The 13,038-nt window shown below is 47.0% G+C and overlaps 1 pseudogene, 1 gene segment (V, D, J or C) and 1 further gene, besides 1 other annotated feature; all 3 read left to right on the top strand.

The window, feature by feature from the left end:
- The window catches only part of IGL (immunoglobulin lambda locus), an 896,838-nt gene that overhangs the window by 566,565 nt on the left and 317,235 nt on the right, over nucleotides 1–13,038 (top strand).
- On the top strand, nucleotides 1,927–2,416 carry IGLV3-32 (immunoglobulin lambda variable 3-32 (non-functional)). The segment is given in 2 exon segments: nucleotides 1,927–1,969; nucleotides 2,116–2,416. Coding segments are annotated over 2 exon segments (344 nt in total).
- Nucleotides 2,123–2,622: an enhancer, noted in NCBI's record as "H3K4me1 hESC enhancer chr22:22937233-22937732 (GRCh37/hg19 assembly coordinates)". NCBI's record gives its function as "activates a minimal SCP1, AML or CMV promoter by ChIP-STARR-seq in naive H9 embryonic stem cells {active_cell/tissue: H9 hESC(naive)}" and the evidence as "EXISTENCE:reporter gene assay evidence [ECO:0000049][PMID:30033119]".
- On the top strand, nucleotides 12,053–12,545 carry IGLV3-31 (immunoglobulin lambda variable 3-31 (pseudogene); annotated as a pseudogene). Its single transcript is given in 2 exon segments — nucleotides 12,053–12,098; nucleotides 12,245–12,545. Coding segments are annotated over 2 exon segments (347 nt in total).

The raw sequence follows: 13,038 nt of genomic DNA on the forward strand, positions 1-13,038 counted from the left end.
CCAATCTTTTCAACTGACCCATTTGCGTTTTCCATAAGTGCTCGCCAGCCAGCAGCTGTGACTGCCCCTCAGTCTCAGGAAGGGAGAAAGAAGGAAACAGGAGCAAAGCCTCTTTCAATCTTAGCAAATAAAGTGGGAGCTTTGACTTTTTTGAACACCCAGATGACAGGAAAGAGGAGGAAAATTTTCCTAAAGCTGTTATTTTTTAATGCCTCAGGAAGAATCACACCCGGAGTCTCATCCACACTTTATTTGGAGGTATTTGGGTCTCAGAGTTTGTGCTGAGTTAGTTAATGATTTGGGCTACTGGGATGGGGTGAATGTGTTTTACAAGTGAGAAAGAAATAAGCTTTGGAGTCCACAGGGTGGAGGCTTATTGGCTAAATTGTGTCCCTCAAGATTCATGCAATGAAGCCTTAATCACAGTGTGTGACTAAATTTGGAGACAGGGTCTTTATGGAGGTGATTAAGTGAAAATGAGGTCATGAGGGTGGGTTCTTATCCAGTCTGACTGGTGTTCTCCTTAGAAGAGAAAATTTGCACACACAGAAATCAGACACCAGAGATGAGCAGGCGGAGGAAAGACCATGTGAGGTCACAGCAAGGAGGTAACGACCTGCAAGCCAAGGAGAGAGGCCTCAGGGAAAATCAGTCCTACCAACACTTTCACCCTGGACTTTCCAGCTTCAGCACTGAGAAAATAAGTTTTGCTGTTGAGGCCACTAGTTCTTTGGTATCTTGTGATGGCAGCACTGGCAAATGAAAACAAGAGGGACCCCAAAGACCTTGGGTAGGGGGAACAGATGGAGCAGGGTGCAGGAGGCAGGGCAGGGAGGGGCTGGAAGGTCATGCTCTGAGGTTCGTTTCCTGGATGGAACTGGGACTCCACTCACTACTGTCTGGGGAACTTGGGGAAAAAACTTCACCTCCCAATATTGATTCCCTAATAAAATCTGGGCCCTGAGCATAGGGCTCCTCATCTTCCTACTCCATATGATGCAAGTTTTCTTGAAGTTATGCTTGTAAAACACTCACCAATGCATCTGGCATATATTAAGGGCTCAAAAGTAGGCCAGGCATGGTGGCTTATGCCTGTAATCCCAATACTTTGGGAGGCCGAGGTGGGGGATCACTGGAGTCCAGGAGTTCCAGACCAGCCAGGCCAACATGGTGAAACTCCATCTCTACTAAAAATACAAAAAAAAAAAAAAAATAGCTAGGCATGGTGGTGCCCTTCTGTAATCTCAGCTATTCAGGAGGCTGAGGCAGGGGAATAGCTTGAGCCTGAGAGGCGGAGGTTGCGGTGAGCCCAGATGGTGCCATTGCACTCCAGCCTAGATGATAGAGTGAGACTCCATCACAAAAAGGAAAAAAAAAAGGTTGTCATTCTGCAGCCCAGATCGTGCCATTGCACTCCAGCCTGGACGATAGAGTGAGACTCCACCACACACACACACAAACGCACACACACACAAAAACTAACCCCCGCCCCGCAAAAATCGAAGGTAGCCATTCTGCTGTATGATCTATTGATACATACAGGATGACATTTGTCCTGTGGGCACCAGGGGGCACTGTGACCCCTGGTTTGGGACACTAATGGCTCCAAGTCCCTGGTAGTACTTGAGTCATTTCCTTTCTGGCCCCTTCTATTGAGTGGAATCCTGAAACCCACCTGACTCTTCTACTCTTGAAAAATTACGCAGAGAATGTCCTCAGACATAGGGTCAGACAAGAACTTCGACATACATTTTAAAGAATGGAGAGCAGATTTACATCCGCTGCTTAACAGGGAACCAACTAACAAAGAATTAAGAATAAAGGAAGTAGAGTTGCATGAAGAGACTCCCCTTTCTATGATAAGAAAGGCCTGAAGGTCCCTTCCCAGCTGTGGACTCAGAGGCAGAGCTCTGGGGCATTTCCATTATGGCCTGGACCCCTCCCCTGCTCGTCCTCACTCTCTGCACAGGTGCTGCCTCCCAGGGCTCAGCCCCCAGTGGGATCAAGATCAGCCTGGCCCTGACCTTCAACTCAACATAGGGAGTGATGCAGGGTGTGGGGTTCTGGGAATGAGGCCCTCATCCTCAGACTCACCTCTCCTGTCCTCTCTTGTGGGCTCCGTTATTTCCTCTGGGCCAACTCAGGTGCCTGCAGTGTCTGTGGCCTTGGGACAAATGGCCAGGATCACCTGCCAGGGAGACAGCATGGAAGGCTCTTATGAACACTGGTACCAGCAGAAGCCAGGCCAGGCCCCCGTGCTGGTCATCTATGATAGCAGTGACCGGCCCTCAAGGATCCCTGAGCGATTCTCTGGCTCCAAATCAGGCAACACAACCACCCTGACCATCACTGGGGCCCAGGCTGAGGATGAGGCTGATTATTACTATCAGTTGATAGACAACCATGCTACTCAACTCACAGTGACACAGGCAGATGGAAAAGTGAGACACAAACCCTTTTTCTGTCTGTGTCACTCACTTCCTCCGGCCCCAGCAGGACTGTGGACACAGCCATGGGCAGGTCTGGCTCAGTTTTCCTGGATCTGAGACCCCAGGGTGCCCTGACCTCCAAGCCCTCCAGGGAGACTCTGAAGAGAGTGGGTTAGGTCAGGAGAGGACTTGGGGCTGGCAGGACCAGACTGTCCTGGTATTGTCCAGAGTGGCTGTGTCTTGGCTTAAGATGACCTGAGTGTAAGGATAGTCAGAGGGAGACAGCCATTGAGTGGTAATGGTCCCTGGATTTCCTTCTGTATGGTGACTGGACCTAAGGCAGTGCTGCTTTTCTGTGGCCCAAATGCCCCAGATCATTCTGAACTTCTCAGGTTTAACTGAGACCCTCAAGCCCCAGCTCCATGACATCCTCATATTCTGAACAGGGAGGGCCACCACAATGGGCAGTGTGGTGTCCATCAAGATTCCCCTTTCAGGGCTCACCCATCCGCCATACACCCAAAGCTGCCGGGAGGCCCTGGCTTCTCACAGCTGCTCCCCACCGGAAAATGCCATTGATTGCAAAGAATGGCCTCCCCCAAAAGTTTGCCCATGTCAGAGCGTGGCTCAGGTGCAATGACTGCTTGATGCCTCAATCCCAAAGTCAGGCCTTAATTTAGGATGGCCTTGAAGTGTGTTGCAGCTGAGCACTCAATTGTAACACATTCCCACTCATGCCTCCCATACTTCTTTCCTGAGAATATATCCCTAAACCTCACTGCATGGAATTCCCCCTCTCAGAGTAGGAGTCTGGGGAATTAAAAGATTTAAAAACAAACCAAAACAGTCCAAAGGGAAGAGTAACAAAGAGGAGAGAGTTGCACAGAGAGAGGACTCTGGAGTCTGCAAATGTTCGTGAGCACCGATGAGCACATATGTGGGAGGAAACAACCTCTGGAAGAGAAAAGAACCATCCAAAGACACTTGAGAGAACACTCCAGAGCGTGTGTGCACGCACACACACACACACTCACACCCCACATAAAGAAAACAACAACACTCATCATCATCAAATTGCTAAAAAACATTTTAGCAATTTTATGCTAAAATGATGATGAAGAAATGTGGTGAAGAAATGTAGCCTTAAAAGTAGCCAGAGAGACGAGGTGGCTCACGCCTGTAATCCAAGCACTTTGGGAGGTCGAGGCAGGTGGATCACCTGAGGTCAGGAGTTTGAGACCAGGCTGGCCAACATGATGAAACCCCGTCTGTACTAAAAATACAAAAAAGTTAGCCGGATGTGGTGGCAAGCGTCTATAATCCCAGCTACTCGGGAGGCTGAGGCAGGGAGAATTGCTTGAACCTGAGAGGTTGCAGTGAGCTGAGATCGCACCACTGCATTCCAGCCTGGGCAACAGAGCAAGACTCAATCTCAAAAAAAAAAAAAAAAAAAAAGTCAGAGGCAAAAGACATGTTAGATACAGGTGAACACAATGACAAGAGCAGAATTTTTATTAGAAGCAATGCAAGCAGGAAGTAGTGGAGCTATATTTATAAAATATGAAAAGAAAAAACTTATAACCCAGAGCAATCTACAGCCTCACTGAAATCCCTACCAAAATACCAATGACATACCTCACAGAAATAGAAGAAAAACCCCACAATTCTACAATTTGTATGGAGCCACAAAAGACCCAGTATAGCCAAAATGACACTGAGCAAAAAACAAAACTGGAGGCATCACATTACCTAATTCAAAATATGCTACAAACGGCCGGGCGCGGTGGCTCACGCCTGTAATCCCAGCACTTTGGGAGGCTGAGGCGGGCGGATCACGAGGTCAGGAGATCGAGACCATCTTGGCTAACACGGTGAAACCCCATCTCTACTAAAAATACAAAAAATTAGTTGGGCGTGGTGGCGGGCTCCTGTGGTCCCAGTTACTCTGGAGGCTGAGGCAGAAGAACGGCGTGAACCCGGGAGGCGGAGCTGGCAGCGAGCCAAGATCGCGCCACTGCACTCCAGCCTGGGTGAGAGAGCAAGACTCCGTCTCGAAGAAAAAATAAATAAATAAAATAATAGGCCATATGTGATGGCTCACACCTGTAATCCCAGCAGTTAGGAGGCCAAGGTGGGAGGATTGCTTGAGCACAGGAGTTTGAGACCACCTTGGGCAATATAATGAAACCCTCATCTCCACAAATTTTTTTTTTTAAATTAGCCAGCCTTGGTGGAGTGAGCCTGTGGTCCCAGTTACTTGGGAGGCTGAAGTGGGAGGATCACTTGAGCCCAGGAGGTGGAGGTTGCAGTGAGTCATGATCTTACCACTGCACTCTAGCCTGGGCAACAGAGAAAGACACTGCTTCAAAAGCAAGCAAACAACCAAAAAATCAAGTAATATCATTGAAAAGGGGGCAAAGGATCAGAATAGACTTTTCTCAAAAGAAGATAAACAGGTGGCCAACAAGCATATGAAAAAATGCTCAACGTCACTAATCATCAGGTGAATGCAAATCAAAGCCACAACGAGACATCATCTTACCCCAGCTGGAAAGGCTATCATTAAAAAGACAAAAAAATAACAAGTGCTGGTGAAGATGCAGACAAAACAGAAGACAAAAACCACGTGATCATCTCAACAGTCACATCAAATGTTTTCATGTAGGGAAACATTACTGTTTGTGATTTTCCAGACTTGCTAGAGCATCATAAAAAGTAAGATTTGTGGTGCCGATATTGGAGGGGGTGTTATTCTGTGCAAAAAACCTGGATATCCCATATCCAACTGTGAAGATACTTACTGATAAATGCTAAAAAATTGCAATATTGTGTGTCCAAATGTTCTGGGGGTCAGGAGTGGGGTCTCACACGGGAAAGGATTCAGTCAAAGAGAAAAATAGAGAGGCTAGAACATAGAGGAAAACATAATATGTCTGGAAATAAGGAGTCCAAACTAATTGGAGCTGAGTGATAACAAAAGAACAATGGCATGAACCATCTATTTCTCTCTGGAAATCTCATTGATATATTGTGCTCTCTCCAGGGCTATGCCCAGCTAGATTATAAAATTGTCTGTTCCTGAAACGTTTCTTGCGTATATGACAGGGCCTAACACTGGAATCAAGCTCAGGTTGATGAGGGCAGGGCAGTTAAGCACCCGACCCTGGTGGCCTGTGAAATACTTGGGGGAGACAGGGGTTTGTTGTCTAAAGCAGAGGAAGTGAGATTTTCCACTGTGGCTTAGACCAGAGCTTCTGAAATTCCAGTGAGCAAACAAATCCCCTGTGGAGTCTGTTTAAGATGCAGATGCAGCCTCAGCAGGTCTGCGTGGGGCCCCAGAGTCTCTATGTCCAGCAGCTCCCAGGTGAGGCTCATGCTGCTTGTCCTCCAAGAACCACACTTTGAGTGGCTTAACTCCTATTCGCCCTCCTCACTCAAGCACAGGTGAGACTCTGCCAAGGAAGGCACTGTCTGAGAAGCAAAGGTGACCTTCTGTCCTTCCTCCCCTGGTGTTTTAGTCCATGTTCTATTGCCATAAAGGAATATCTGAGGCAGAGAAATTTATAAATTTTAAGAAAGATTTCTTTGGCTGAAGCTTCTGATGGCCGGAAGTTCAAGAGTGGGCATCTGCATCTGTTGAGGGCCTCAGGTTGCTTCCACTCATGGCAGAAGATGAAGGGGAGCCAGTGCGTACAGAGACCAATGGGAGAGAGGAAGCAAGTCTTTTCCTAACAAGAATGCAGGGATGTAATTTAATCATATTTATAAAGTGTTTGACATAGAGCCTGACACACCCAGGTACTCCTAGTTGGCAGCAATTATTACTGTCGTCGCACATGAAAATTGGACCTGGGATGGAGGAAAGGCAGCGCAAACCCTCTGTTTGGGACAAGAGAGACTTAAATAATTTAAAATTGAGGCATAGGAGATAAGGAGAGTATCCCTGGGTGTTCTCCTGCCAATTCTCTCAGCATCTCGGAAACTGTTTCAAGGTGATGAAGTCAACCAGAGAGGGAAGCGGAGGAGTTTGTAGAACCAAGGGTTGCAACTTCATCCATGAGGAGGAGGTGTAGTCAGGGGATTGGGAAGAGGTGGCTGAGCTCATCTGAAGGGTGTCTAAGGTTTTCTGGCCCCCATGTCCTGGCCCATCCCTCCCTGCCCAGGGTCTCACCCCTCACCTGACAGCCCAGAGCTGGAGAGTGGCCTATGATTCTGATTAGAGACCCCACCAAAGCCCAGAGGGGAAGACATGGGTGGGAGGCGTCACAGAAGACAGTTTTCTGCCTGTGGTGTTGGGGCAGTTTCCTGGAAAGGAAATTCAGACACTGTAGGGGAGAAGAAAACACAGGAGAGGAAGGCCCCTCCCCAGGGGATTGTGGCGTTAGAGACCAAAGCATCTTCAAGAAGCCCAGCCCTGCAGGAGGTTCCCTGAGCCCAGAGTTCCTAGAGCTGTCTGTATTATTTTGCCTGGGGTGCCATAAAAAGTAACACAGACTACATGACTCAAAGAACAGAAATTTATTGTCTCACTAATCTTATGGCGATGGTAGAATCTGAGATCAAGGTGTTGGCAGGGTTGGCTCCTTCTGAGGCTGAGGGAGGGTCTGTTTCATGCCTCTCCCCTGGCTTTTGGTGGTGTAGCAGTATTAGCTGTTCCCTGGCTTATAGGTGAATCACCCCAATCTCTGCCTCCATGTTCATATGACGTTTTCTCTCTGTTCATGTCGGTGTCCAAGTTTTTTCTTTTTATAAAAAGACCAGTCCTATTGGATTTGGGGCTCACTCTATTCCAGTATGACCCGATGTTAACTAATCACATCTGCAACCACCCTTTTCCTATGTAAGTTCCCATTCTGAGGTCCTGATGGATAGCACTTCACCATATGAATTCCAGGGGGCACAAAATTCAAATTCCCAACAATGGGCCAGGCACGGTGGCTCTTTGGGAGGATCCCAAATCCCAGCACTTTGGGAGGCCAAGGTGGGCGGATCACATGAGGTCAAGAGTTCAAGATCAGCCTGGCCAACTGGTGAAACCCTGTCTCTAGTAAAAATACAAAAATTAGCTGGGCGTGGTGGTGCGTGCCTGTAGTCCCAGCTACTCGGGAGGCTGAGGCAGGAGAATCGCTTGAACCTGGGAGGTAGAGGTTGCAGTGAGCCAAGATCGTTCCACTGCACTCTAGCCTGAGCGATAGAGTGAGACTTCATCTCAAAACAAAAAACGAATTCCCAACAATGCCTCAGACATGGCTTAAGCTGCCCACTGGGGCTCTGCAGGTGGGATGTGCACCACCAAGCTCTCAGGTGGGGCATTACCTGACAGCCCAGAAGGACTCCGGGCCCTCTGCAAAGTGCCTGATCTCTTGCGCACCTTAAAAGGTAGCTTTTCAGGCTGTTCTTGTTCTTTTCATGCTGACGTAGGAGATTTTATCCTCTGCTTTTTAAGTAGAAGCTTCCTTACCCTCCTCATCATCCTGAGTAGATGCCTAGGCTGGTTTCAGAGAAATCAAACCAGGGTGGATTATGAGTTATATTAGCCACCAGCTGTCAATATTCTCTGAATGCCCAGCATCCATCCATGCTCTCTGACCATCACCAGAGTGAGCAAATCTCTGACATGTGGATAAGAGTTTCTTCCATGGGCTCCCAGCCAGGCTGTAAGTGAGACCAGAATACCCTTCCTTCAGTGCATGGGGCTCAGTGCAGCTGCCTCCCTGACAGTCTCCCTGGGACATTAAGCTTGTCAGCTTCTCTCTTCCAAATGCAGGTCTGGTTGTCCTAAGCCCAGCTCAGCGCTGCTGTGGACTTTGCATCCTAAAAACATTATCAACTCTGCCTTGTGCCTCAGTGGACTGGCCTGGAGGAAACAATATGAGGTGTCCTGGCTCTTTCCACCCCCAGCGTCTCTCTCCCTCAGTGGTACCAGTACGGTCCTCATGACGGTTCATCTATACCTGCCAATCTAGGCCTCCACACTGCCGACTGTGGATGGTCACAGAACCCAAAATGCTAATCAGCCTTAAGCAGATCATGCTAATAGTTTCTGCAGATCTGGGTGCCTCATCCCAGATCTAGGAGTTCACAAGCTAGGCCAGCTCCAGGGAGATAACATGTATCACAGAGTCTGGACACGACAAAGTGGCTTTGCTGTATTTTTGCTGGGACACATGATGGTGATATCAATAAGAACTGGCTCAGGTCCCTGCAGCTTAAGGCCCATTGAACAGGAAAGCAGCCAGGAGGATGTGCTGCCTTTTGACCTGTACACAAATCAGTGCCATGTGCCGACTGTGTGTGAATATCTGTGCCTGTGTGTATATTTGTGTACATGTGTGTATGTATGTGTACGTGTCCAAGTTGGTGTTGCAAGGAAGTGTTCCTACTGTCAAATGTTTCAAACTCAAATCTTTTCTGTTTTCCTAACTTACCTGCTTCTTCTATCTCTAGTGCCTTTGTTCTGCACTAAGAATAAGGATGAAGATTAGGGTAGTAATACTAGCAGGAGGAGTAAAGATTCATATGTGTTTAATACATATCAAGCAGTCTTCCAAGTACTTCATATTTATTAATTCCCTTCATCTCAACAACTCTATGAGTTGTTCATTATCCCTCCGTTTTACAGTTGGGAAATCTATGATACATAGATTTTGAGAAATGGGAAAACTAATGCAGAGAAAAGAAGAATAACATGCCTGATGTCAGAACTAGAAAGTGGCTGACCCAGGAGTAGAATCTCAGGTCTTCTGGCCCCAGAAAACCTGTTCTTAGGCACCATCCTGTCGCCTGTCATTGCATCAATGTGGTAAGGCATTGGTGTGTCTTTAAGGCTCCAGAAAGTTCTTTCTACTTTGTATTTATTTTGTTTTGTTTTTGAGACAGAGTCTTACTCTGTCACCCAGGCTGGAGTGCAGTGGCACCATCACAGGTCACTAAAGTCTCAACCTTCTGGGCTGAAGAGATCCTCTCATCTCAGCCTCCTGAGTAGCTGGGACTACAGGTGAATACTACCATGCCCAGATAATTTTAAAGTTTTTTTGTACAGATGGGGTCTCACTATGTTGCGTAGGCTGTTCTCAAACTCCTGGGCTCAACCAATCTTCCTGCCTGAGCCTCCCAAAGTTCTGCAATTATAGGCATGAGCCACTGTGCCCAACCTTTACTTTTTAAAAGTATCATATTGTGACTTTGAGTGCACCAGCAGTGCTCTAGTGCTGGTCTATTAGAAATGTAATTTTAAGAATATATATATATAATATACAATTTTTTAGTGGCCACATTTAAAAGGTAAAAGAAACAGGTGGAATTTATGTTCATAATATATTGTGTTTAAATGATTTATCCAAAATATTATTTCAGCATGCATTCAGTATTAAAATATTGAGATATTTATTTTATTTTTGTACTAATTCTTTGAAATCTGGTGTGTTTTACTCCTACAGCACATCTTACCTCAGACTACCCATGTTTCCAGGGCTCAGTAGCTCCCTGGGACTCATGGCCGCCATATTGGACACAGCAAGTCCAGATGGATAAAGGTCCATTTGGGTCACAGCCCCTGCAGTACATACTGACAGCTACCTGGGAAGAATGGAGAGTTCCATGACCCAAAGGGCCTCCTGAGGGAGGAATGGCAGCTCTACTTTCCAGCCAAAGCAGGAATATTGAGGGCACTAAGAAACAAGGGAATTTTTACAGTGTGTTTCACACTTCTTCCCTTCTCAAAGACATTAAATATAACTTCAATTTTAAAGGTGAACCTCGGCCATCAAAGGCATGTTTTCTATTGGTCTCTTTCCGGTGGAATGAATGGCAATGGTCCCTGTAAATTGTGCTCCAAGGATCCCTTTCAGTGGGAAGATTCTTGTGATAAGCCCAATAACAAGTAAGAAAGCAATTTTTTATACATAGATCTAGAACAAAAAGGGCTCATGATGAAGAATATTTTATTGAAGCTTAGTGTATTGCTATTTTTCATAAATTGCTGTTTTTGCCTATCCCACAAGCACTGATCACTTTTATGAAGGTACATTCTCCAAGGGTCGTCTTAGCATGTCAGGACCCACAAGCAAAGGTGTTACAAGTGACCTGCACGAGTGGCCAGCAGGACACCTGGAGGAGCCCAGTGAGATGAGGAGTGGATGCGCATCAGGTGGGAAGGCATGGAGAAGCTGTGTGCCACACACTCACCAAGGACAGGAGCGGGCGTATTTGTGGCCTGTGGCCTAATCTTAGGTCAGTTACCTCTTTAGACTAAATCCCAAGGAGTCAGCACATGGAGGTTTCGGTCCGTGCACATGGCACCTACAGGGCTTCACATGACGTTGCTAATTACAATGCAGCGGCACTTACAAAGGAATTAGTTTCATCACATCCTCAGCAGAACTAGGTCTAAAAACCAATATATATGTATAGGATATCAGGTGAGAAATACTTTCTTGCCAATCATGTGTATTAACGTTAAAGTGGTTCAGTATCTAGTGTGACAGTTGTTCAGGCTTAGTGGCCTTGACCACGTCAAAAATGGAATCCTGATCCTAACTTGTCTAGAGATTAGCCTGGCACAAGGAGCATGACCAGGCATCTGGATGTCCCCAGTGTCACTGCAGACACATGCTCCTTTTTCATCTGCCAGAGGGAGCATTAGGATGTCCTCACCTCTGTCCCCAGAACTCAGGAAGGGCAGTACACCTGACTAAAGAGTAGAGGGTTGTGAAAAGAGGGACCTAGGGCACTGGATAAGCAGGAGGAGAAGGAGCACTGGGTGGGAGGTAGAGAAAGGAGGGGGCTGAATGGTTAGGCTCTGAGGTGTGTCTCCTGGATGGAGTCTTGGATTCCACTCACTACCATCTGAGAACTTTGAGAAAACCGTGTAACCTCCTGATGTTGGGTCTCTTGTCAGTAGACATCAGTGCTTTCCTGATGTATAGGGTTACTGTAGAATTATAATGAATGCCTGGTTGAGGTGACATGTCTAATACACCCTCCAAAGCATCAGGCATATATTAAGTACTCATAAGCAGGCATTCTGTGTGAACTAGTCATACATGGAAGATGACATTCCCCGTGTGGGCACAGTAGGATGCTGTGGACTTTGGTTTGGGGACCCTAATAACTTCAAGTCCCCTGGTAGCACCCAAGTGTAAAAGGCAAAGGGCATGACTGGTGCTTCCTGTGAGGCCTCTTCTATTTGGTAAAATTCACTCTCCACTCATCGCACCCACCTGGCCTTTATTCTAAACTTGGAAAATTGCTAACATGAAGGTCTCAGCCTCAGGGCTCAGATAAGAACTCAGACACATCAATAGAGAGGATGGCTGAGGTGCTTGGCCGAGCTCAGTGAACACCCCAGAACAGGAACTGAGGAGTGTATGCATGTGTTGGGGGCAGCACTTTCTCACTCATCCAGAAAGTGTGAGGAATCTGTACAGAACTGGGGACAGGGCCCATTTTTATACCCTTCTATAAGCCCAGCCCTTGTCTGCTCACTAGGGAGCCATTCACCAAGGCCACAGGAGGGAAGGAAGTAGATTTGCATGAAGAGCATCCCCTTCCTATGTTAAGAGAGGCCTGGAGGCCCCTTCCCAGCTGTGGACTCAGAGGCAGAGCTCTGGGGCATCTCCACCATGGCCTGGACCCCTCCCCTGCTCACCCTCCTCACTCTCTGCACAGGTGCTGCCTCCTAGGGCTCAGCCCCCACAGGACCAAGAATCAGCCTGGCCCTGACATTCAGCTCAGCACAGGGAGTAATGCAGGGTGTGGGGCTCTGGAAATGAGACCCTTATCTTCAGACTCACCTCTTCTCTCTTCTCTTGCAGGCTCCGTGGTTTCCTCTGAGCTGAGTCAGGAGCCTGCAGTGTCTGTGGCCTTGGGATAGACAGCCAGGATCACCTGCCAGGGAGACAGCATAGAAGACTCCGTTGTAAACTGGTACAAGCAGAAGCCAAGCCAGGCCCCTGGGCTGGTCATCTAACTTAACAGTGTCCAGTCTTCAGGGATTCCTAAGAAATTCTCTGGCTCCAGCTCAGGGAACATGGCCACCCTGACCATCACTGGGATTCAGGTTGAAGACAAGGCTGACTATTACTGTCAGTCATGGGACAGCAGTCGTACTCATTCCGCGGTGACACAGGCAGAAGGGGAAGTGAGACAAAAACCTTTTCTCCATCTGTCACACTCTTTCTTCAGCTCCAGGAAAAAACTGTGGACAAATTCATGAGCAGGTCTTGCCCTGTTCACCCAGATATGAGACCTTGAGGCTGCCCTTCCCTCCAGGTCTCCAGGTAGGCTATGAAAAGGGTGAATCAGGAGTCAATACACACACAATTATTATAATTTTATTCTTGTTTGAAGAAGAAGTAGAGGAATAATTGAACATGTAAAGTGAAAACATGGAAAACCGAAAAAGAGGAATTATTGAACTTGTAAAGATGAAAACTACAATGTCTGAAATTTAGAAAATACACTGGGTGAGTTTGACAACAGAAAAAAGATTAGCTGCAAAAAAAAAGATTAGCTGCAAAAAAAAAGATTAGCAAATTGTATAATACAGCAGTAGAAATTGTCCAAGATGAAACACATATGGGAAAAATAATTATGGAAATTAATGATA

Source organism: Homo sapiens, chromosome 22 (genome assembly GCF_000001405.40).
Source record: "Homo sapiens chromosome 22, GRCh38.p14 Primary Assembly".
In the NCBI taxonomy this organism is placed as follows: Eukaryota; Metazoa; Chordata; class Mammalia; order Primates; family Hominidae; genus Homo; species Homo sapiens.